This window comes from Homo sapiens, chromosome X (assembly GCF_000001405.40).
Source record: "Homo sapiens chromosome X, GRCh38.p14 Primary Assembly".
In the NCBI taxonomy this organism is placed as follows: domain Eukaryota; kingdom Metazoa; phylum Chordata; class Mammalia; order Primates; family Hominidae; genus Homo; species Homo sapiens.
This window is the reverse complement of record NC_000023.11, coordinates 53,089,862-53,114,389: the sequence shown is the minus strand read 5'-3', so window position 1 is coordinate 53,114,389 and position 24,528 is coordinate 53,089,862. Positions and strand designations below refer to the sequence as shown.

The window sequence follows — 24,528 nt, the reverse complement described above, 5'->3', positions numbered from 1 at the left end:
CAGACACCAATGCACAGCCACAAGGATCAAGAACAATCAGGGAGGCCAAGCACGGTGGCTCAGGCCTATAATCCCGAGCACTCTGGGAGGCCGAGGCGGGCAGACTGCTTGAGCCGAGGAGTTTGAGAACAGCCTGGGCAACATAGCCAGACCCTGTCTCTATTTTTTAAGGAAAAAATTTTTTTAACCTGGTGCGGTGGCTCACGCCTGTAATCCCAACACCTTGGGAGGCCGAGGCAGGCAGGTGGATTGCTTGAGCTCAGGAGTTTGAGACCAGCCTGGGCAACATGGCGAAACCCCGTCTCTACAAAAAATACAAAAAAATTAGCTGGATGTAGTGGCACATGTCTGTGGTCCCAGTTACTTGGAAGGCTGAGGCAGGAGGGTCACTTGAGACTGGGAGGCAGAGGTTGCAGTGAGCTGAGATCATGCCACTGCACTCCAGCCTGGGTGACAGAGTGAGACTCTGTCTCAAAATAAATTTTGTTTTGTTTTTAAAAAGTACAATCGACTGGGTGCAGTGGCTCACATCTGTAATCCCAGCACTTTGGGAGGCTGAGGCAGGCAGATCACTTGAGGTCAGGAGTTCGAGACCAGCCTGATCAACATGGTGAAACCCCCATCTCTACTAAAAATACAAAAATTAGCTGGGCATGGTGGCATGCGCCTGTAATCCCAGCTACTCGGGAGGCTGAGGCATGAGAATAGCTTCAACCCAGGAGCCAGAGGTTGCAGTGAGCCGAGATCGCGCCACTGCACTCCAGCCTGGAGTGGGTGGGTGACAGAGCGAGACTCCACCTCAAAAAAAAAAAAAAAAAAAAAAGAACAATCAGGGAAAGGGAAACACACCACCACCAAAGGAACAAAAGAAAGCACCAGTAACTGACCCTACAAAGAAGAGACGTATGAAGTGGCTTACAAAGAATTCAAAGTAATTATATAAAGGAAGCTCAGAACTTCAAGAAAATATGCAGGGACAATTCAATGATATCATGAAAAAATGAATAAAATGAAACATTTAACAGAGAGATTGAAATTATTTTAAAAATTAGGGTTTTTTTTTGTGTGTGTGTTTTCTGCTATAGGCTTGGTTGGTTGCTATAGGCTTGGGCAAGTTCATGAAACCTGGGAAAGTGGTGCTGGTCCTGGCTGAATGCTACTCTGGACACAAAGCTGTCACCATGAAGAACGTTGATAAGGGCACCTCAATCTTCCCCTACAGCCACGCTCTGATGGCTGGAATTGACTGCTATCCCCGCAAATGACAGCTGCCCATGGGCAAGAAGAAGATCGCCAAAAGGTCAAAGATAAAGTCTTGTTAAAGTTCATAATTATAATCATCTCATGCTCACAAGGTACTCTGTTGATATCCCCTGAGTGGGATATCCCACTCAGAACTGATCAAGCAGAAAAAAGAATCTGTGAACCTGAAGACAGATTTGAAAATATACAGTCATAGGGGGAAAAATGAAAAAGAAATAAGACAGCTTATGGGATTTACAGGATAGCTTCAAAAGAGCAAATTTTTGAATTACAGAGTTCATGAAGGAGAAGAAAAAGACAAAGGAACAGAAAGCTTACTTTAAAAAGTAATAGCAGAAAGCTTTCCAAGTTTGGAGAAAGATACAAAATATCCAGGCATAGGTCAAAGTTCTCCAATCAAATTGAATGCAAACAAGACTATACAGAAACATAGAATCAAACTGTCAAAAATCAAGGACAAGCAGAGGATCCTTGAAAGCAGGAAGAGAAAAGAAGCAAATAACAGGTACAGGAGTTCTAATAAGGCTAGCAGCAGATTTCTCAGCAGAGACCTTACAGGCCATGAAAAAGTGAAATGATCTATTCAGTGTGCTGAAGGAAAAAACCTTCCAATCAAAAAGACTGTACCAGCAAAGCTGCCCTTTAGAAATGGAGAGGAAAAGTCATTATACGAAAAAGACACTTGCACACGCATGTTTATAGCAGCACAATTCACACCTGCAAAAACATGGCACCAGCCCAAATGCCCATCAGTTAACGAGTGGATAAGGAAACTGTGGTAATATATACACCATGGAATACTACTCAGCCATAAAAAGGAATGAAATAATGGCATTCGCAGCAACCTGGATGGAATCGGAGACCATTATTTTAAGTGAAGTAACTCAGGAATGGAAAACCAAACATTGTATGTTCTCAATCATAAGTGGGAGCTAAGCTATGAGGATGCAAAGGCAATAAGAATGACACAATGGACTTTGGGGACTTGGGGGAACGGGTGGGAGGGGGTGAGGGATAAAAGACTACACATTGGGTATAGTGTATACTGCTTGGGTGATGGGTACACCAAAATCTCAGAATTCACCACTAAAGAATTTACCCATGTAACCAACCACCACCTGTTCCCCAAAAACCAACTGAAATTAAAAAAAAATAATTAAAAAACAAGAAATGAAGGAGAGACAAGAGACTTTCCAAGACAAACAAAAGCTGAGGGAGTTCATTGCCACCAGATCTGTCTTACAAGAAATGCTGAAGTTAGCTTGTCTAACCCGCCTTATTTTGTTGTTGTTGTTCTGTTTTGTTTTAAGTTTTTAGCAGCCTGAAGCCACGGTTTTTAGTTTCTGTATCTAGTGATAAGCAGAAAAGAGGGATGAGGAAGGGGCTTAACTGGCTCAACCAGAAACAGAAACTAAGAACTCATGACTGTATTCGTTCCCTTGGACACCTCTGTGCTAAAGAGAGTTTTTCAAGCTGCAAGAAAAGAATGCTAATTAGTAACACGAAAACATATGAAAGTATAAAACTCACTGGTAAAAGTAAGTATACAGTCAAATTCAGAATACTATAATACTGTAATGGTGGTGTGTAGATTGCTTATACATGTAGTATAAAGGTTAAGAGGTAAAATTATTAAAATAATATCTACAATAATTTGTTAACAGATAACACATTATAAAAAGAAATAAATTATACCATCAAAACCATAAAATGTGGTGAGGGGGTGGAGCCAAAGTGTAGAGTTTTTTAATGCACTCAAAGTTAAGTTGTTACCAGCTTAAAATAGCCAGTTACAAGATGTTTTAGGCTGGGTGTGGTGGCTCAGGCCTGTACTCCTAGCACTTTAGGAGGCCGAGGCAGGAGGACTGCTTGAGTTCAAGGCAGGAGTTTGAGACCAGCCTGGGCAACATAGCAAGACCCCATCTCTACAAAAAAAAATTTTAAACTTAGCCGGGTGTGGTCGTTGCATGCCTCTAGTTGCAGCTATTCAGGAGGCTGAGGTGGTAGGACTGCTTAAGCCCAGGAGGTTGAGGCGGTGGGCTGTGATTGCACCACTGCACTCCAGCCTAGGTGACAGAGCAAGACTCTGTCTCAAAAATAAATAAATAAATAAAATTTATAAAATAAAGAAGTAATATCAGTCATTCTCAAACTCTTCCAAAAAACTGAAGAAGAAGGCATACTTCCAAACTCTTTTTTTTTTTGAGACAGAGTCTCGCTCTGTCACTCAGGCTGGAGTGCAGTGGCGCAATCTCGGCTCATTGCAATCTCCGCCTCCTGGATTCAAGCAATTCTCCTGCCTCAGCCTCCTGAGTAGCTGGGATTACAGGTGCATGCCACCACGCCCGGCTAATTTTTGTATTTTTAGTAGAGATGGGGTTTCACCATGTTGGTCAGGCTGGTCTCAAACTCCTGACCTTGTGATCCACCTGCCTTGGCCTCCCAAAGTGCTGGGATTACAGGCGTGAGCCACGGCGCCCGGCCCCAAACTCTTTATGAGGCCAGCATTACCCCGATACCAAAGCCAGACAATGACACTAGAGGAAAAGAAAATTACAAGCCAATATCCCTGATGAACAGAGAAGCAAAAATCCTCAACAAAGTACTGGAAACCATATTTAACAGTACATTAAATGGATCATTTACTATGATCGAGTAGGATTTATCACAAGGATGCAAGGTTGGTTCAACACATGCAAATTAGCAGAATGAAGGACAAAAACCATATGTCAATAGATGCAGAAAAAGCATTTGGCAAAATTCAACATCCCTTCATGATAAAAACTCAAAAAACTAGACATAGGAGAAATGTACCTCAACGTAATAAATACCATATATAACAAACCCACAGCTACCATCATACTCAATGGTGAAAAGTTGAAAGCCTTTCCTTTAAGATGAGGAACTCTATTCTACAGGATACTAGAAGTTCCAGCCAGAGGAATAAGTCAAGAGAAAGAAATAAAAGGCACCCAAATTGGACAGGAAGAAGTAAAATTGTTCCCATTTGCAGACGACACAATCTTATATATAGAAAATACTAAAGACTCCACCAAAAAACTGTTAGAACAAGCCTGCGTGCAGTGGCTCATGCCTGTAATCCCAGCACTTTGGGAGGCCGGGGCTGGCAGATGGCTTGAGGCCAGGAGTTCGAGACCACCCTGGCCAACATGGTGAAACCCCATCTCTACTAAAAAATATAAAACTTAGCCAGGCATGGTGGCACATGCCTATAGTCCCAGCTACTCGGGAGGCTGAGGCATGAGAATTGCTTGAACCCAGGAGACGGGGGTGCAGTGAGCTGAGAACATGCCACTGCACTCCCGCTTGGGCAATACAGTGAGACTCTGTCTCCAAAAAAAAAAAAAGAAAGAAAAAAGAAAACCGTTAGAACAAATAAATTCAGTAAAGTTACAGGATACAAAATCAACATACAAAAATCAGTAGCACTTCTATACACTAACAACAAAGTATCTGAAAAAGAAATCAAGAAAGCAATCCCATTTACAATAGCTACAGAAAAAAAGTAAAATACTTAGGAATAACCGGGTGTAGTGGCTCACGCCTGTAATCCCAGCACTTTGGGAGGCCGAGGCGGGTGGATCACCTGAGGTCAGGGGTTTGAAGCCAGGCTGGCCAACATGGCGAAACCCCATCTCTACTAAAAATACAAAATTAGCAGGGTGTGGTGGCACACATCTGTAATCCCAGCTACTCGGGAGGCTGAGGCAGGAGAATCGTTTGAAACTGGGAGGCGGAGGTTGCAGTGAGATGAGATCGCGCCACTGCATACTCCAGCCTGGGCAACAAGAGCGAAACTCCATCTCAAAACAAAAACAAAAACAAAACAACAAAAAACAAACTTAGGAATAAATTTAACCAAGGAGGTAAAAGACGTGTACCCTGAAAACAGTAAGACATTGATGAATGAAACTGAAGATGATACAAATACATGGAAAGATACCCTGTGGTCATGAATTGGAAAAATTAGTATTGTTTAAATGTCCACACTACTCAAAGTGATCTACAAATTTAATGCAATCTCTATAAAAGTTCCATGTCATTTTTTACAGAAAAATACTAAAATTTGTATAAACCACAAAAGACACCAAATAGCCAAAGTAATCTGGAGCAAAAAGAACAAAGCTGGTAATCCCAGCACTTTGGGAGGCTGAAGTGAAAGGACTGCTCGAATCTAGGAGTTTGAGACCAGCCTGGACAACATAGTGAGACCCTTGTCTCCACAAAAAAATTAAAAATCAGCTGGGTGTGGTGGTGTGCACCTGTAGTCCTACATACTTTGGAGGCTGAGATGGGAGGACTGCTTGAGCCCGAGAGTTCGAGGTTGCAGTGAGCTATGATCACACCGCTGCGCTGCAGCCTGGGTTACAGAGCGAGACCCTGCCTCAAAAAAAAAAAGGCATTCAGACAGGAAAGAAAAAAGTGAAACTATCTCTATTTAGAGATAACATGATCTTGTATATTTAAAAATCCCAAGGAATCCACCAAAAAACTATTTGAACTAATAAACAAGTTCAGCAATGTCATATGATAGAGGATCAATAAACAAAAATCTATTGTATTTCTATGCACTAGCAATGAACAATCAAAAAATGAAATTAAGGGCTGGGTGCAGTGGTTCATGCCTATAATCCCAGCACTTTGGGAGGCTGAGGTCGGGTGGATTACTTGAGGCCAGGAGTTCGAGACCAGCCTGGCCAACATGGCAAAACCCCATGGCTACTAAAAATACAAAAATTAGCTGGGTGTGGTAGTATGCACCTGTAGTCCCAGCTGCTTGGGAGGCTGAGGCACAAGAATTGCTTGAACCCGGGAGGTGGAGGTTGCAGTGAGCTGAGATCACGCCACTGCACTCCAGCCTGGGTGACAGAGTGGGACTCTGTCTCAAAAAAAAAAAAAATTAAGAAAAAATTTGAAGGCCAGGCACGGTGGCTCACGCCTGTAATCCTAGCACTTTGGGAGGCCGAGGCGGGCAGATCATGAGGTCAGGAGTTTGAGACCAGCCTGGCCAACATGGTGCAACCCCGTCTCTACTAAAAATACAAAAAATTAGCTGGGTGTAGTGGCTGGTGCCTATAATCCCAGCTACTCTGGAGGCTGAGGCAGGAGAATCGCTTGAACCCAGGAGGCGGAGGTTGCAATGAGCCAAGAGCGCCCCACTGCACTCCAGCCTGGGTGACAGAGTGAGACTCCGTCTCAGAAAAAAGAAAAAAAGAAAAAGTCCAGCTAGGTGCAGTGGTTCACACCTGTAATCCCATGAGTTCAAGGCTGCTGTGGGCTATGATGGAGCCATTGCACTCTAGTTTGAGCAACAGAGCAAGACCTTGTCTCTAGAAAACAAACCCCTGACTCTGAGATAAAAGCATGAGGAAATTAAAAATTATTTTAATTTAAAAATTTTTAAAAATTAAAAAACATCCCATTTTAAAGTAGTATCAAAAAGAATAAAATGCCTAGGAATAAATTTAACAAAGGAACTGCAAGACTTGTATACTGAAAACTATAAAACACTCCTGAAAGAAATTAAACATCTAAATAAATCCCAAGTTCACAGACTAGAAGACAATATTGTTAAATGGCAATACTCCCCAAGTTGATATATAGATTCAACATAATCTCTATGAGAATTTCAGCTGTTTTTTTTTTTAAAGAAATTGATAAACTGCTGAGTTTGGTAGATCATGCCTGTAATCCCAGCACTTTGGGAGGACGAGGCAGGAGGATTGGTTGAAGCCAGGAATTTGATATCAGCCTGGGCTACAAAGCAAGACCCTGTCTCTACAAAAAAAAAAAAAAAAAAAAAGCAAAGAGGATCACTTGAGCCCAGGAATTCAAGGCTGCAGTGAAGTATGATCACACCATTGCACTCCAGCCTGAGCAACAGAGAAAGATCCTATCTGTAAAAGAAAAAAAAAAAGAAAGAAATTGGAAAGCTGATCCTAAAATTCCTATGAAAATGCAAGGATAGCCAAAACAATCTTGAAAAAGAACAAAGTTGGAAGACTCTCACTTCTTGACTTCAAAACTTACTACAACTACAGTAATTAAGACAGTGTGGTCTAGCATAGTGACAGACCTGCAAATCAATGGAATAGAATTAAGAGTCCAGAAGTTAACCTTTATGTTTATGTTTTATGGTCAATTATTTTTTTCAGAGATGGGGTGTCACTATGTTGCCCAGGTTGGCCCTGAACTCCTGGGCTAAAGTGATCCTCCTGCTTCAGCCTCTCTAGTAGCTGGGACTACAGATGGGTGTCACTATGCCTGGTCTATGACAAGGTCGTCAAGACAATCCAATGGTAAAAAGAATATTTTTCAACAAAAGGTGCTCAGAAAACTAGATATCCATGTCAGAAGAATAAACCTGTACCCCTACTCTCACGCTATACACAAATATTAACTCAAAATGGGCTGGGTACAGTATGTCTGTAATCCCAGCACTTTGGGAGGCTGAGGTGAGAGGATCACTTGAGCCCAGGAGTTCGAGACCAGCATGGGCAATACACAGAGACCTCATCTCTACAAAAATATAAAAATTAGCTGGGTGTGATGGCTCACACTTGTAGTGTCAGCTACTCAGGAGGCTGAGGTGGGGGGATCACTTGAGCCTAAGAGGTCAAGGCTGCAGTGAGCTGTGATGGTGCCACTGCACTCCAGCCTGGGTGACAGAACGAGACCCTGTCTTGAAACAAAAATAACTCAAAATGGATCACTGTCCTAAATGTAAGAGCTAAAACGATAAAATTCCTAGAAGAAAACATAGGAATAAATCTTTGTCACCCTGATTTAGGCGATGATTTATTGGATATAACACCAAATGCCCAAGTGACAACAAAATAGGTAAGCTGGACATCACTGAAATTAAAACCTACTGTACATTAAAAGATACCATCAATAAAATGAAAAGAACCCACAGAATGGGAGAAAATATTTATAATTCATATTATCTGGCCAGGCGCGGTGGCTCACGCCTGTAATCCCAGCACTTTGGGAGGCCGAGGCGGGTGGATCACGAGGTCAGGAGATCGAGACCATCCTGGCTAACACGGTGAAACCCCGTCTCTACTAAAAATACAAAAAATTAGCTGGGCATGGTGGCGGGCGCCTGTAGTCCCAGCTACTTGGGAGGCTGAGGCAGGAGAATGGCGTGAACCCAGGAGGCGGAGCTTGCAGTGAGCCGAGATCGCGCCACTGCACTCCACCCTGGGCGACAGAGCGAGACTCTGTCTCAAAAAAAAAAAAAAAAAAAAAGAAAAAAACATATTATCTGACAAAGGACTTATATCCAGATACATAAAGAAGTTCTGGCCAGGTGCAGGGGCTCATGCCTGTAATCTTAGCACTTTGGGAGGCCGAGGCAGGTGGACTGCCTGAGCTCAGGAGTTCGAGATCAGCCTGGGCAACACAGGAAACCCCATCTCTACTAAAATACAAAAAAAAAAAAAAAAATTAACCAGGTGTGTCGTTGTGTGCCTGTAGTCCCAGCTATTCAGGAGGCTGAGGCAGGAGAATTGCTTGAACCCAGGAGGCAGAGGTTGAAGTAAGCCAAGATCACACCACTGCACTCCACCCTGGATGACAGAGTGAGACTCCGTCTCCAAAAAAAAAAAAAGAAGTCCTGCAACTCAATAATAAAAAGACACATAATCCAATTAAAAATGGGCTAAGAATTTGAATAGACATTTCTCCAAAGATATACAAGCATATAAAAGGACATTCAATATCATGAGTTATTAGGGAAATGAAAATCAAAACTACAATGAGACACCACTTTCATACTCACTAGGATGGCTATAATAAAAAAGACAAACGAAAAGTGTTGATGAGGATATGGAGAAACTGGAACCTTCATACACTGCTGATAGGACTGTAAAATGGCATAGCCACTTTTGCAAACAGTTTGATAGCTCCTCAAAACATAAGGCGGGGCACCATGGCTCATACCTATCATCTCAGCACTTTGGGAGGCGAGGAGGGCAGATCTCTTGAGCCCAGGAGTTCAAGACCAGCCTGGGCAACATGGCAAAACCCCATCTCTACAAAAAATACAAAAATTAGCCAGGTGTGGTGGCACATGCCCATGGTCCCAGCCACTCAGGAGGCTGAAGGGGGAGGACCACTTGAGCCCAGGAGGTGGAGGTTGCAGTGAGCCAAGATTGGGACACTGCATTCCAGTCTGGGTGACAGAGTGAGACCCTGTCTCAAAAAGAAAAAAAAAAAGTTAAACATAGAGCCACCATATGACAGCAATTCCACTCCACGTTCAGAGAAATATTAGTCATATTGGCCAACATGAAAGCAACTGAACTGACCAACTGAGGAACGGAGGTAGATCCATATGACAGAATATTATTTGACAATAGGAAGGAATGATACGTGCAACAGCATGGATGGACCTCAAAACATTATGCTCAGCGAAAGAAGCCAGCCAGCAAGACCAGTATCTTGTACGATCTAATTTATATGGAATATCTAGAATAGACAAATCTCTAGATACAGAAAGTATATTAGTGGGTGGCTAGGACTGGGGAGAATACTAATGGGAAGTGACTGCTAATGAGTATGAAGCTTCTTTGGTGGGGGTCGGGGGGTGAAAATGTTCTAAAATTGATCATGTTTGGGAGGCCGAGGCGGGTGGATCACTTGAGGTCAGGAGTTTGAGACCACCCTGGCCAACATGGCAAAACCCCGTCTCTACTAAAAATACAAAAATTAGTCAGGCATGGTGGTGTGCGCCTGTAATCCCAGTTACTCGGGAGGCTGAGGCAGGAGAATCACTTGAACCCGGGAGACAGAAGTTGCAGTGAGCCGAGATTGTACCACTGCACTCCAGCTTGGGTGACAGAGCGAGAGGCTGTCTCAAAAAATAAAGATAAATAAATAAAACTACTGAACAGTATACTTTTATTTATTTATTTATAATAATATTTATTATTATTTTAACAGTACCCTTTAAAAGGGTGAATTTACTCAGAAAGTTGAGGCCAGAGGATCACTTGAGCCCAGGAGTTCAAGTCCAGCCTGGGCAATACAGTAAGACCCTGTCTCAAAAATAAATAAATAAAAGGTGAATTAGATGGTATGCGACATGCATCTCAATGAAGTTGCAACGAAAAGATGGAAGAAGTAATAGAATGTCTGTGTGCTAATAAGAATGATCTTGTAGAGAGAGGGGAAAACTGGTGGAACCATGTCCTCAAGTAGGTGAGAGAGGATGGGATGGAGTGCCAAAGGGGAGAGACTGGATTTTGACGACAGTAGGAGCACCTTATGTAGTACAGAGAAGAAGGCAGAGTATGTGGATACAGATGCTGTGTGGTGGTTGGATGTGGTGGTGGGAATCTGCAGATGTTTTATTCCAATGGTTTCCATTTTTTCAGTCAAGTAGGAAGCCTGAGTGTAAGGACAGGGGAGGAAATGTTGAGGATTTCAGGAGAGAAGTAGGAAACAATCATCATCTAGGAGGGTAGGATAGAAAATGCAATGGAGCAAGTAGAGAGCTGGATTTAACTGGGCTGAGGCAGTGCCCGATAAAGTGGATGGTAAGTACGCTGAAGTGGCAGAGGGCGAAGGGAAGTGAGACTGTCCGCCCAGGAATGATTGTAACAGTGGGTCATGGAATCTAAGCTGATTAAAGGAGGGACATAGGAGCATGGGGGAAGTGAAAGGGAGTGAAAATGTTCAGTCCCAGTGGGATTGAGGGATTGCTGGAGTTGGAGTACTAGTAGGCGTGAGCTAGAAAAATAGGAGGTACTGGCTAGAGAACAGGATGCCTGAAACTGAGAATATGAAAACAATGCAGTCACAGGTACTGACAAGGACAAGGGTCAGGCTTGGCACAGTGGGTCACACCTGTAATCCCAGCACTTTGGGAGGCCCAGGCGGGTAGATCACTTGAGGTCAGGAGTTCGAGACCAGCCTGGCCAACATGGTGAAACGCTGTCTCTACAAAAATTAGCTGAGCGTGGTGGCAGGCGCCTGTAATCTCAGCTACTCTGGAGGCTGAGGCAGGAAAATCACTTGAACCCAGGAGGCGGAGGCTGCAGTGAGCTGAGATCGCACCACTGCACTCCAGCCTGGGTGACAGAGTAAGACTCCATCTCAAAAAAAAAAAAAAAAAACAAACAAAACAAGGGTCAGACTATTGGAGTAGGTAGCTGAGGTGGGGTTAAAAGGCAGGATCATTGTAGGGTGGCAAATCACAGAACTGACAGATGAAAATATTGGAAGGATCAGCTACAAAGATATTAAAATCACCAAGAATTAGGACTGGACCAGTGTTAAAGAGAATGACAGTGAGATCACAGCTAAATTCATTTAGAAATGGTAATGATGGGCAGATATGGGTGTATGTCTGTATATGATGATACAGAGTGGTAGCTGATGGTATATTCTGATGATATGAGATTTACAACAAGGTTGTTGATATTTATATAATCCCAACATATTTCATGAAAGAAAAAAGGGGAACTATAGTGGAAAAACCTGACAGACACCACCTTAAACAAGGAATCAAAGTCAACAAAACTGGTATCAGGACAAAATGACATCACATGCCTCCTGATAGGAAGCACTGAAGACATAACTTCTCTTCTGCGGTATTCTCACCAAAATTACATAACTTGAATATAATCACAGTGAAACTTGAGACAAACCCAAATTCTATGAAATAACTGTCCAGGAGTCTTCTAAATGATCAAAATCATAAAAGACAAAGAAAGACTCAAGAACTGTTCCATATTGGAAGAGCCTAAGGAGGCATGATAACTAAATGTAATGTGGGAGCCTGAACTGAATCCTTGAAAAGAAAAGTGGCACTAGTGAAAAACTGATGTAATCTAAATAAACCCTGTAGTTTCGTTAAGAGTACAGGCAATACCTCATTTTATTGTGCTGCACTTTACTGCACTTCACAGATACTGTGTCTTTTACTAATTGAAGGTTTGTGGCAAAGTTGTATTGAGTAAATCTATTAGTGCCATTTTTCCAACAGTATGTGCTCACTTAGTGTCTCTGTCTTACATTTTGGTAATTTTCACATTTCAAAACTTTTCTTATATCTGTTATGGTGATCTGTGATCAGTGATCTTTTTTTTTTTTTTTTTGAGACAGGGTTTCACTCCTGTCACCCAGGCTAGAGTGCAGTGGCGTGATCTCAGCTCACTGCAGCCTTTGCCTCCTGGGCTCAAGCGATTCTCCTGCCTCAGCCTCCCTGAGTAGCTGGGACTAGCGGCGCACGCCACAGCACCCAGCTTAATTTTTGTATTTTTTGTAGAGATGGAGTTTCACCATCTTGCCCACGCTGGTCTTGAACTCCTGAGGTCAAGCAATCCACCCACCTCGGCCTCCCAAAGTGCTGGGATTACAGGCGTGAGCTACCGCACCCCGCCTAGATCAGTGATCTTTGGTGTAACTATTTGTAATTGTTTTAGGGCACCATGAACTGTACCCATGTAAGATGGCAAACTGAACTGACAAATATGTATGTTCTGACTGCTCGACTGACTGGCTATTCCTCTGTCTCTCTCCCTCTCCTCAGGCCTCCCTATCCAAGACATAACAAATTGAAATTAGGCCAATTAATAACCCCACAATGGCTTCTAAGTATTCGAGTCAAAGGAAGTATCTCAACATCTATCACTTTATTTTTTATTTTTATTTTTTTGGAGACAGGGTCTTGCCATGTTGCCCAGGCTGGTCTCAAACTCCTCGGCTCACACAGTCCTCCCGCCTCAGCCTCCCAAAGTGCTGGGATTACAGTCGTGGGCCATTGCGCCCGGCCTTCAACATCTCTCACTTTAAATCAAAGGCTGGAAATGATTAAGCTTTGTGAGGAAGGCATGTTGAAAGGTGAGAGAGGCCGAAGGCTAGGCTTCTTGCGCCGAACAGTTAGCCAAGTTGTGAATGCAAAGGAAAAGTTTTTGAAGGAAATTAAAAGTGCTACTCCAGCGAACACATGAGTGATAAGACAGTGAAACAGTGTTATTGTGGATATGGAGAAAGTTTGGGTGGTCTGGCTAGACAATCAAATCAGCCACAACATTTCCTTAAGCCAAAGCCTAATTCAGAGCAAGGCCCTAACTCTCTTCAATTCTATGAAGGCTGAGAAAGGTGAGGAAGCTGCAGAAGAAAAGTTGGAAGCTAGCAAAAGTCGGTTCATGAGGTTTAAGGAAAGAAGCCATCTCCGTAACATAAAAGTGCAAGGTGAAACTGCAAGTGCTGATGTAGAAGCTGCAAGGAAGTTATCTAGAAAAATCTACATAAGATAGTTGGTGAACAACAGATTTTCTTTTTCTTTTTGTTTTTTGAGATGGAGTTTTGCTCTTGTTGCCCAGGCTGGAATGCAGTGGTGCGATCTCGGCTCACTGCAACCTCTGCCTTTGGGTTTCAACCGATTCTCCTGACTCAGCCTCTTGAGTAGCTGGGATTACAGGTGCCCGCCACCACGCCCAGCCAATTTTTGTACTTTTAGTAGAGACGGGGTTTCACTATGTTGGCCAGACTGGTCTCAAACTCCTGACCTTGTGACCCGCCCGCCTCTGCCTCCCAAAGTGCTGGGATTACAGGCGTGAGCCACCGCACCCGGCCAACAGATTTTCTTTTTTTTCTTTTCTTTTTTTTTTTTGAGACGGAGTTTCACTCTTATTGCCCAGGCTGGAATGCAATGGCATCATCTCAGCTCACTGCAACCTCTGCCTCCCAGGTTCAAGTGATTCTCCTGCCTCAGCCTCCCGAGTAGCTGGGGTTATAGGCATGCGCCACTACACCCAGCCAATTTTGTATTTTTAGTAGAGGCAGGGTTTCTCCATGTTGGTCAGCCTGGTCTCGAACTCCCAACCTCAGGTGATCCGTCCGCCTCAGCCTCCCAAAGTGCTGAGATTACAGGCGTGAGCCACCGCACCTGGCCAACAGATTTTCAGTGTAGCTGAAACAGCGTTATATGGGGAGAAGATGCCATCTAGGACTTTTATAGCTAGAAAGAAGTCAATGCCTGGCTTCAAAGCTTCAAAAGACAGGATGACTCTCTTGTTAGAGGCTCAGGCAGCTGGTGACTTTTAACTTGAAGCCAGTGTTCATTTTACCATTCTGAAAATCCTAGGATCCTTAAGAACTATGCTAAATATACTCTGTGCTCTATAAATGGAGCAACAAAGCCTGGATGATAGCAAATCTGTTTATAGCATAGTTTATTAAATATTTTAAGCCCACTGTTGAGACCTGCTACTCAGATAAAAAGATTCCATTCAAAATATTACTGCTCATTGAAAATGCACCTGATCACCTAAGAGCTCTGATGGAGATGTACAAGGAGATTCATGCTGTTTTCATGCCTGCTAACACAACATCCATTCTGCAGCCCATGGATCAAGGAGTAATATTGACTTTCAGGTCTTATTATTTAGGAAATACATTTCATAAGGCTATAGCCGCCATAGACAGTGATTCCTCTGATGGATCCGGGAAAAGTAAATTGAAAATCTTCTGGAAAGGACTCACCATTCTAGATGCCATTAAGAACATTTGTGATTCATGGAAGGAGGTCAAAATATCAACATTAACAGGGTGTAGAAGAAGTTAACTTCAAACCTCAGGGATGACTTTCAGGGGTTTCAAGACTTCAGTAGAGGAAGCAACTGCAGAGATGGCAGAAATAACGAGAGAATCAGAATTAGAATGTGAGGCTGAAGAAGTGACTGAATTGCTGCCATCTCATGATCAAACTTTTTTTTTTTGAGATGGAGTCTCGCTCTGTTGCTCAGGCTGGAGTGCAGTGGCGCGAGCTCAGCTCACTGCAACCTCCGTCTCCCAGGTTCAAGGGATTCTCCTGCCTCAGTCTCCTGAATAGCTGGGACTACAGGTGTCCGCCACCATGCCTGGCTAATTTTTCTGTATATTTAGTAGAGACAAGGTTTCACCATGCTGGCCAGGCTGGTCTCAAACTCCTGACCTTAGGCAATTCACCCGCCTTGGCTTCCCAAAGTGCTGGGATTACAGGCATAAGCCACTGTGCCAGGCCCTCCTTTAATGGAGCCTGGGCAACAAAGTGAGACCCTGTCTCCACAAAAATTAAAAAAAAAAATAGCTGGGCATGGTGGCACATGCCTGTGGTCCCAGCTACTCCGGAGGCTGAGGCAGGAGGATTACTTGAGGCCAGGAGTTTGAGACTAGCCTGGACAACACAACAAGACCCCACCTTTGCAAAATTTTAAAAATTGGCTGGGCGTGGTGGCATGCACCTATAGTCCCAGCTACTTGGGAGGCTGAGGTGGGAAGATTGCTTGAGCCTGGGAGGTCGAGGCCGCAGTGAGCCGTGATCGCGCCACTACACTCTAGCCTGGGTGACAGAGCAAGACCCTGTCTCAGAAAAAAAAAGAAAAAAAGTTAGTGGATGAGGAGTTACTTCTTATGGATGAGCAAAATAGTGATTTCCTGGGATGAAATCTACTCCTGGTGAAGATGCTGTGAACACTGGAAACAACAACAAAGGATTTAGAATATTACATAAACTTAGTTAACAAAGTAGTAGCAGGGTTTGAGAGAACTGACTCCAGTTTTGAAACAAGTTCTACTGCGGGTAAAATGCTATTAAACAGCATCACATGCTACAGAGAAACCCTTTGTGAAAGGAAGAGTCGACGTGCCAAACTTCATTGATATCTTATTTTAAGAATTTGCCACAGCCACCCCAACCAGCAACTACCACCCTGCTCAGTCAGCAACCATCAACATCGAGGTAAGACCCTCCACCAGCAAAAAATTACAACTTGCTGAAGGCTGGGATGATCTTTAGCATTTTTTAGCAATATAGTATTTTTAAATTAAGGTAAATACTTTTTTTGATACAATGCTATTGTACACTTAATAGACTATGGTACAGTGTAAACATAACTTTTATATGCACTGGGAAACCAAAAAATTCATCTGACTTGCTTTATTGTGTTGGTCTGGAACTGAACCTGTGATATGCCTGTATGTATCAATGTTAATTTTCTAGTTTTGATAGTTACACTGTAATTATATAATTTCTTTCTTTCTTTTTTTTTTTTTTTTTTTTGAGACAGAGTCTCGCTGTGTCACCCAGGATGGAGTGCAGTGGCATGATCTCAGCTCACTGCAACGTCTGCCTCCTGTGTTCAAGCAATTCTCCTGCCTCAGCCTCCCAAGTAGCTGGGACTACAGGCACAAGCCACCACACCCAGCTAATTTTTGTATTTTTAGTAGAGACAGGGTTTCACTATGTTGCCCAGGCTGGTCTCGAACTCCCGACCTCAGGTGATCTGCCCACCTTGGCCTCCCAAAGTGCTGGGATTACAGGCGTGAGCCACTGCGCCCAGTCTGTAATTATATAATTTCTTAACATGTGGGGAATCTAAGTGAAGAATATATGAGAATTCTTGTATAATTTTTGAAGCTTTTTAAAAGTTTGAAATTATTTTAAGTTTAAAAATTCTTGGCTGGGCCTGGTGGCTCACACCTGTAATCCCAGCACTTTGGGAGGCCAAGGCGGGTGGATCACTTGAGGTTAGGAGTTCAAGACCAGCCTGGCCAACATGGTGAAACCCTGTCTCTGCTAAAAATACAAAAATTAGCCAGGCGTGGTGGTGCATGCCTGTAGTCCCAGCTACTCTGGAAGCTGAGGCAGGAGAATCACTTGAACCTGGGAGGCGGAGGCTTCAGTGAGCCAAGACTGTGCCACTGCATTCTAGCCTGGGTGACAGAGTGAGATTCTGTCTCAAAAAAAAAAAAAAAAAAAACTTAAAACAAATGAAAAAAGGGTTGTTTGAGGAGGAAGAATGTCTGGAAAGGGTAACTAGGAGCAAGCATACCCACCCTCACCCTCACCACCCAGTTTCCCGGTAAGAGGGGTATGAGAGGGCTGCCGGGAGGACAGAGTGTTCAGGGAAAGCCAGGCTGCTACTTAAGCAATGGTTCTCACTGAGAGGTGGGGGCTGGACAATTAAAGGGTGTTTCAGGGCATTTTTTCTTTTTTTTGAGACGAAGTTTCGCTCTTGTTGCCCAGGCTGGCTCACTGCAACCCCTGCCTCCTGGGTTCAAGCGATTCTCCTGCCTCAGCCTTCCGAGTAGCTGGGATTACAGGCATGTGCCACCATGTGGGCCTGGCTAATTTTTGTATTATTAGTAGAGACGGGGTTTTACCATGTTGGCCAGGCTGGTCTTGAACTCCTGACCTCAGGTGATCCACCCACCTCGGCCTCCCAAAGTGCTGGGATTACAGGTGTGAGCCACAGTGCCCGACCCATTTTTTACTGCTTTTTTTTTTGAGACAGGGTCTCGCTGTCACCCAGGCTGGAGTGCAGTGGTGCAATCCTGGCTCACTGTAACCTCTGCCTCCTGGGCTCAAGCAATCCTCCCATCTCAGCCTCCTAAGTAGCTGGGACCACAGGCGTGCACCACAACACCCGGCTAATTTTTGTATTTTTTGTAGAGACGGGGTTTCATCATGTTGGCCAGGCTGGTCTCGAACTCCTGGACTCAAGCGATCTGCCCACCTTGGCCTCCCAAAGTGCTGGGATTACAGGCGTGAGCCATCACACCCGGCCCTGTTTGGGGGGCATTTTTGACTGTGACAATAATTGGAGATCATCAGTGACAACCCTAGCTATGGACCAGGGATGCTCAGCCCTCTGCAGTGTACAGGACAGCTCCACACCACAAAGAATCATACCACATTCCATACAACTTTAGAATATCTCACCAGTAATGTAGGTGAAAAACCTGTTCATTTGTTCTTTTATTCATTCAACAAACATTCATTGAGAAAGTCTACTAGGTGTCAAGCACTATTTTAGGTAATAGGAATGTATCATAGAACAAAAAAGACAAAAATCCCTGCCCTTCTGGAGCTTATAATTGAGTGGGAGAGTCAGACAATAAACAGCAAACATACTAAGCAGTTAATGCTACACTGTGAAAAAGGTGTAGAATACCATGGAACAGACAGAGCAGGGGCATATTAGGGGAGAGCTGCAATTTTAAACAGGATGGTTGGGGGGCCCTCTGAGAAAGTGACAGCTGAGTAGAGGCCTGAAGGAAGCAAGGGCCTGAGCCTTGTGGGTATTTGAGGAAAGAGCATTCCAGATACACGGAATGCAAAACCCCTGAGGCGGAAGTGTGCCTAAGGTGTTCAAGTAATAGTAAGGTGGCCAGCATGGGTAGATAGAGTGAGCAAGGGGGGAGAGTGGTGGGAGATAAGGTCAGGGAGATTAAGAGGGTCTCATCATGGATATTAATATATACTGATTTTTCCAGAAATTTAACGACCATATAAACTGAGAAACTCTTCCACATTGTTTTGTTTAGAACTTTGTGAAGAATTGTTCATTATTTAGGAAAACTGTGTCACTCTACCTGTGGCTTCTGAATCACCAATCAACACACATGTAGCTGTCACTATCATTAAGTGTAAGACCATTTCATCATGTCTTCTAATGGAGTCATATCCCAGTCTTTGCATATATATGTGCGATATATGTATAATATAATATTATATATTACTCTTCCTTTACTACTCTCTATATTACAATTAGGGCATTATATTGGTTTTCAGGGAATTATGGGTGTAGACAGATTCTATTTTCTATCCATTTCATTTTAGAATAGTGAAGCATTTCAAAATACACCTTATTAAAAAAAAAAAGCAATGTTGGGTCCAACAGGTATGAGAACGACCAAAGCATAGCAAGAAAATAAAGGGAGTATTCAGAAGCCAGGATGAGAATGGAGGGAATTTTGCTGATAACTGAAGGTGAGTTCCTTAAGGCCTGGTCAAAGGATTTCAGGATGGAAATAGAAAATAGGATGTCCAGGGCTGTATGGAGACATAACCAGGAGATCTGTGGGCTTCCTGTGGTGACTAACATTATATAGGATAAGGGGCTATTAAAAAGTGGTTTTTAATCTAAGTTGCTCCCAACTTTGGGTGTCTCTACCTGTTTAACAGAGTAGGCTGGGGAGCAAAGAGAGTTCTCTCTTCAATGACACCAGAAGCAACCCAAAGCCAGGCTCCATTTTTTACCCACAGAACAGGTCGGAGCCCCAGGCTAAGCTCATGTCCTCGGGGGTAAAACTTATTGCTATAAACTATGCACCTCTAACCTCTTTAGGGTTGAGAAAGAGACGGGTAAAAAGAGGAAAAACAGTAACAGAGAAAGACAGAAGCATTCAGAAAGATCCAATGGAGGAAGGGTCAGAGACAGAGAAAAGACAGAAACCAAGAGAGACAATATTCTTTTCAGTCAAGATAGTCATTATTTATTGAAAATTTTCTAAGGACCGGGTGCAGGGCAAAGTAATGCACATGCATTGTCTCAGGTACACATTATCAGACCCCCATTTGGCAGATGAGGAAACTGAGGCCCAGGCTGGTGAAGGAGATAGCTCAAGGTTTCATAGCTAGTTTAAACTGGTCAGGATTCAGCATCTTATATCTACTACGTCTCAAAAAGTGGGACAGAGACAGAGATGGGAGAGGGGATGCAAAGACAGACACGCACGCAGACGATCACGTGAGCGGCAGACCTGCATGGAACCGTTTCGAAAGACACTGAGGGTGGGAGGTGGGGCCGCGGGAGGGCAGCAACGGGCACCGACCGCTCCGCAGGGTACTCACCTGGTTGCAGTCTGGGAGCCGCAGGAGCACTCGGCTTCCCTTTGCGACCCGCACGATCCTCCGCAACCCGCTGACCTAGGGTTGAGAGGCCGCCCCAGTAAAAGCTCGCGCAGGCCCCACCCCTCGCGCGCTTCGGCCGGCCTCTTCCCGCTGCCACTCCCCCCACCGCCCCGTCTTTATGGCTTCTCACCGTACACCTCCGGCCGTCGCCGCCGCCGCCCCTGCCGCGCGCGCACAGACACCAGAGGCCTACAGCAAGATCTGAAGGATACGCTGGACGGAACCCTTCCACGGGCTGCAGCGCGAGCAGGGGCACGGGCCTACGCCGCTACCGACGGCTCCCCGGCTCCCATTGGAGGAGTGCCCTTCTGCCTTTCCAGGGATTGGCTGGGGATGGAAACATTTTATTTTTACCCCCGAGGCTTAGAGCCAAACCGAGGAAAACTCCGCCCCTTCGGGGGACTTTGATTGGTTAAAGAGCCAAGCCCACCCTTTAATAGGATTGGCCAGGAAAGGAGTGCTTGTCATGGCCCTTTGCCTGTCTATTCGACAGGTCTTCAGGCGGCTACTTGGGAATACGCAGGCGGGAAGCCGGAAGCCACGCCAGGCGCCGAGTCACTGCACAATCGAGATGCCTGGCTTCTTTGACGTTTTACTCTCCATAAGCCACCTTGCACTGCCACCGCTCTGCTAAGAGACGCGATTCTGCCCCTAGTTTCTCACAGTTCCACACCCACCTGCAGAGATTCCTAAGCCAGGTTTCTCTCGCTCAAAGTGAGCAGAGTTCCTTATTCCATGCATGGAGGATGAGGTGGCTATGGGGATGTGGCGTGTCACCTACCAGTCCCTGATACCTGCTGAGACATTGGTCAAGTGACAACCTCGCTAGGAGCCTCAGTTTAACCATCTGGAAATGGAAAGATGTTTTAAAATTTTCCTCACAATGTGTGAGGATTAAATGAGAGGGCAAATATAGATCAGTTGCCTGGGGCATAAATAATTAAGTTCTCTCCTCCCAATTCTTTCCCAGTATTCAGGCGGACAGAACTTATGGCCCAGAGAGGCAAACTGACTGGCTTGAAGTCACACAGCCAGGCCCCACCCCTCGCGCGCTCCGGCCCTGCCTCTTCCCGCTACCACTCCCCACCACCGCCCCGTCTTTGCGTCTTCTTACCGTACACCGCCGGCAGTCGGCGCAGTAAGACCCAGAATAAAACCCAGGCTTCCAAAGGAAAACTGTTTAAGAAGGAAGGAGAGATGGGAAGGACCCTCCTATTTGCAAGGGTTCTTAATTTGTATTCTGCAGACCTCTAATCGAGGCTGGGGACAGGGTTTGGAGAGGTCCATGAATTTGGATGGGAACAAATTTACACCTTTATGGCCGGGCGCAGTGACTCATGCCTGTAATCCCAGCACTTTGGGAGGCCGAGGCGGGCGGATCACCTGAGGTCGGAGTTCGAGACCAGCCTGACCAACATGGAGAAACCCCATCTCTACTAAAAATACAAAATTAGCCGGGCGTGGTGGCACATGCCTGTAATCCCAGCTACTAGGGAGGCTGAGGCAGGAGAATCGCTTGAACCTGGGAGGCGAAGGTTGCCGTGAGCTGAGATCGTACCATTGCACTCCAGCCTGGGCAACAAGATTGAAACTCCGTCTCAAAAAAATAAAACAAAATTACATCTTTATTTTCCCTCTCCTCTAACTGAAATTTAGCATTTTTCAATAAAGAATGTAACTAGGCATAGTAGCAGCAGTAGTAGCAGTACTGATTGTCACTAATAGAAATCAGAGATTTTCATATCACATTATAGATGTTGCAGATCTCTTGAAAATCATATAATTTCAATCATTATTTTAAAATCATGATAGTCATTAGACCCTCCATTAAATCTTATGATTTAATGGATTAATGGGGAGTACATATACGATTATACTATAGCACATATTTGCTTTTTCCATATTTTAATAACTATATTTCAATGTAATCAATTTCTTTTGTAATTCTAGATATTTTATTTTATGAATTTAAACAATTTTTTTTTTCTGAGAAAAGGTCTGGTGGGGCATGGTGGCTCATGCCTGTAATCCCAGAACTTTGGGAGGTCGGAGGCGGGTGAATCACCTGAGGTCAGGAGTTCCCGACCAGCCTGGCCAACATGGTGAAACCCTGTCTCTACTAAAAATACAAAAATTAGCCGGGCGTGGTGGCGGGCGCCTGTAATCCCAGCTACTCGGGAGGCTGAGGCAGGAGAATTGCTTGAACCCAGGAGGTGGAGGTTGCAGTGAGCCGAGATCGCACCATTGCACTCCAGCCTGAGCAACAAGAGTGAGACTCCATCTAAAAAAAAAAAAAAAAAAGAAAAGAAAAGAAAAAGAAAGGTCCCATTAGGCTTCACTAGATCACCAAAGGGGTCCATGGCACAAAAAATATTAAGAATATTTGTCTTGAACTCTAGGCTCCAGGAGGAAAAAGACTTGCTCTATTGGCTGGGTGCGGTGGCTCACGCCTGTAATCCCAGGACTTTGGGAGGCCGAGGCGGGCTGATCATGAGGTCAGGAGATCGAGACCATCCTGGCTAACATGGTGAAACCCCGTCTCTATTAAAAATACAAAAAATTAGCCGGGCGTGGTGGCAGGCGCCTGTAGTCCCAGCTACTCGGGAGGCTGAGGCAGGAGAATGGCGTGAACCCGGCAGGCGGAGCTTGCAGTGAGCGGAGATTGTGCCACTGCACTCCAGGCTGGGCAACAAAGAAAAAAAAAAAAAGACTTGCTCTATCTTGTTTCCCTGCTGTATCCCTATCACCCAGTTCAGTACTTCAGGCACACAGTAAGTACTCATAAGTGTTTACTGAATGAATAATAGGATTCCTTCCCAACCATCCTGCACACCCCCAACTGGGGGAGCCAGTGCCAGCCCTTTGGGTCACCTAAGGAGGGACATTCTTGAATCTAGTTTTGTCCCTGCCAATCCGATTCTACTCACAGAAGTAGGTGGCACTTTAAAGGTCTGGTCCCAGGAAATCCCAGGAACCTCCCACCCAGGAGCAGGGCCCTCTGCTGCAAAGGAGCGAGGGCAAGCTAGGAAGCATATGAAGACAAGTAGTTTCAACATGGGAACAGGCCCTAGGGCACATTGGGCCCATGACTCTTCATCCTCCTGGTTTCTGTTTAAGGTCTCAGCCAATGGGGCCTGTCTTCTCTGGCCTTCAGCGAAGACAGTATCTTGGAGCTAGATGTGACCTTAAAGACCTAGAACAGCCCTCTCTTTCGGAGGTCCAGACTGAAGAGTGAGGGCACAGGGAACAAGATGTTACTCTGGGCAAAGAACATCCTGTCCTCACATGGCTCAGCCGAGGACATGAGCACCCTGGCCAACTATACTAGAATACTATGATTGACTCTTAAGAGCATCACTGAAGATGAAGACCAGAGGCCCTCTCTAACAGGGTGGGTGAAGAAGAGTCTCAAATGCCAGGATGAGGGGCTGGGGATTTGATTGGGGGGACAGAGAGGAATCAGGGAAGAGCACAGTGAAGGCCAGACTTCAGAGACCTGCTTCAAGGCTAGACTCTGTCTTGAGACCTTAGGCAGGTTGCTTCTCCTGGACTGATCCCCCTGCACGATAAGCCTCAGTTTATAGATAGGAAAACTGAGGCCCTCTAGAGAGGACAAGGAGAGTCATGTTGTGAGGTAGGGCAGACTGAGGCAAGAGTAACCAGACTGGCTACTCTGGCTCTGATTGGCTGGGATCCTTTGGCAGGCTGACCTCTTTCTGGCCTACTCCGGCCTACTCCATTGCCTTTGCCCCTGCTGCTTTCCCCTCCCCTCCTCTTCACCGCATACTCATTGGGGTTGGCTCCAGATATTGCATGTAGATGTCTCTTTTCTCTGGGATCCTGCACTCTCAGCTCTGGCCTCGAGGTATTGTGTTACTTTGGGCAAGACATTCCCCTTTCTGGGCCTCAGTCCTCCCTGCCCACCTCTGACAGCACATCAAAGCCTCCATCCTGTCCCCCCCAAAACATTTATCAGAATCATTGGAGAGACATGTCAAGGATCTGGTATTCCAACCATCTCACAGAGGAGGCCCAGAGAGGGAAGGGGCCTTGCCAAAGGTCTCACACCAACCTGGCAGTCATCTTGACTCCTCTGAATCCCTCTCCTTCCATATCTAAAGCCTGTGGAGTCCAACATCTTAAAAGCTCTCATAGAATAGACAAATTGCTCTTGCAGAAGAATTCCAATTAATTTATGTACATACTTCCCTCTCAAGGAAATGGAGCATAACTCCTCATTCCCTAAGCACGGGCTGCGCTTACTTGGCTTCCTTCCAAAGAGTACAGCATGGAAAAAGAGAAAGAGGAGTAGCTTTACAGTGGAGAAACCTGACAGACACTACCTCAGCCAGGTGATCAAAGTTAACATCAACAGTGATAAATCACATTGATAGTACATGCCCTTGATATGATCTAGTGAGAATGACATTTGTCTTCTGTGGTCTTCCTTCCCCAAACTCATATCCTCAGTTTAATCATGAGAGAAAACATCAGACAAATCCTGATTAAGGGACATTCTATAAAATATCTGACCAGTACTCCTCAAATGACTC

At 44.8% G+C, this 24,528-nt stretch overlaps 1 protein-coding gene across 9 annotated transcripts in view, besides 4 other annotated features; it reads right to left on the bottom strand.

Moving 5' to 3' along the window:
• KANTR (KANTR integral membrane protein) overlaps nt 1-20,248 on the bottom strand; it is a 53,780-nt gene extending 33,532 nt beyond the window's left edge. For 3 of the 9 annotated variants that reach the window (NR_145973.2, NR_110456.3, NM_001397451.1), the window contains exons 1-2: nt 20,106-20,248; nt 19,916-19,990 (exon numbers count right to left, since the gene is read on the bottom strand). The gene's annotated coding sequence lies outside the window, so the exon portion shown is untranslated. Of the gene's footprint in view, nt 1-14,781; nt 14,919-15,521; nt 15,640-19,915; nt 19,991-20,105 lie in introns of all 9 variants that reach the window. The other 6 variants (NR_145974.2, NM_001397448.1, NR_145975.2 and 3 more) reach the window with 4 other exon arrangements.
• Nucleotides 19,920-20,069: a silencer, noted in NCBI's record as "silent region_20855". NCBI's record gives its function as "represses an Ori minimal core promoter by ATAC-STARR-seq in GM12878 lymphoblastoid cells {active_cell/tissue: GM12878}" and the evidence as "EXISTENCE:reporter gene assay evidence [ECO:0000049][PMID:35858748]".
• Nucleotides 20,130-20,249: an enhancer, noted in NCBI's record as "active region_29653". NCBI's record gives its function as "activates an Ori minimal core promoter by ATAC-STARR-seq in GM12878 lymphoblastoid cells {active_cell/tissue: GM12878}" and the evidence as "EXISTENCE:reporter gene assay evidence [ECO:0000049][PMID:35858748]".
• Nucleotides 20,332-21,156: an enhancer, noted in NCBI's record as "H3K27ac hESC enhancer chrX:53122416-53123240 (GRCh37/hg19 assembly coordinates)". NCBI's record gives its function as "activates a minimal SCP1, AML or CMV promoter by ChIP-STARR-seq in primed H9 embryonic stem cells {active_cell/tissue: H9 hESC(primed)}" and the evidence as "EXISTENCE:reporter gene assay evidence [ECO:0000049][PMID:30033119]".
• Nucleotides 20,560-20,619: an enhancer, noted in NCBI's record as "active region_29652". NCBI's record gives its function as "activates an Ori minimal core promoter by ATAC-STARR-seq in GM12878 lymphoblastoid cells {active_cell/tissue: GM12878}" and the evidence as "EXISTENCE:reporter gene assay evidence [ECO:0000049][PMID:35858748]".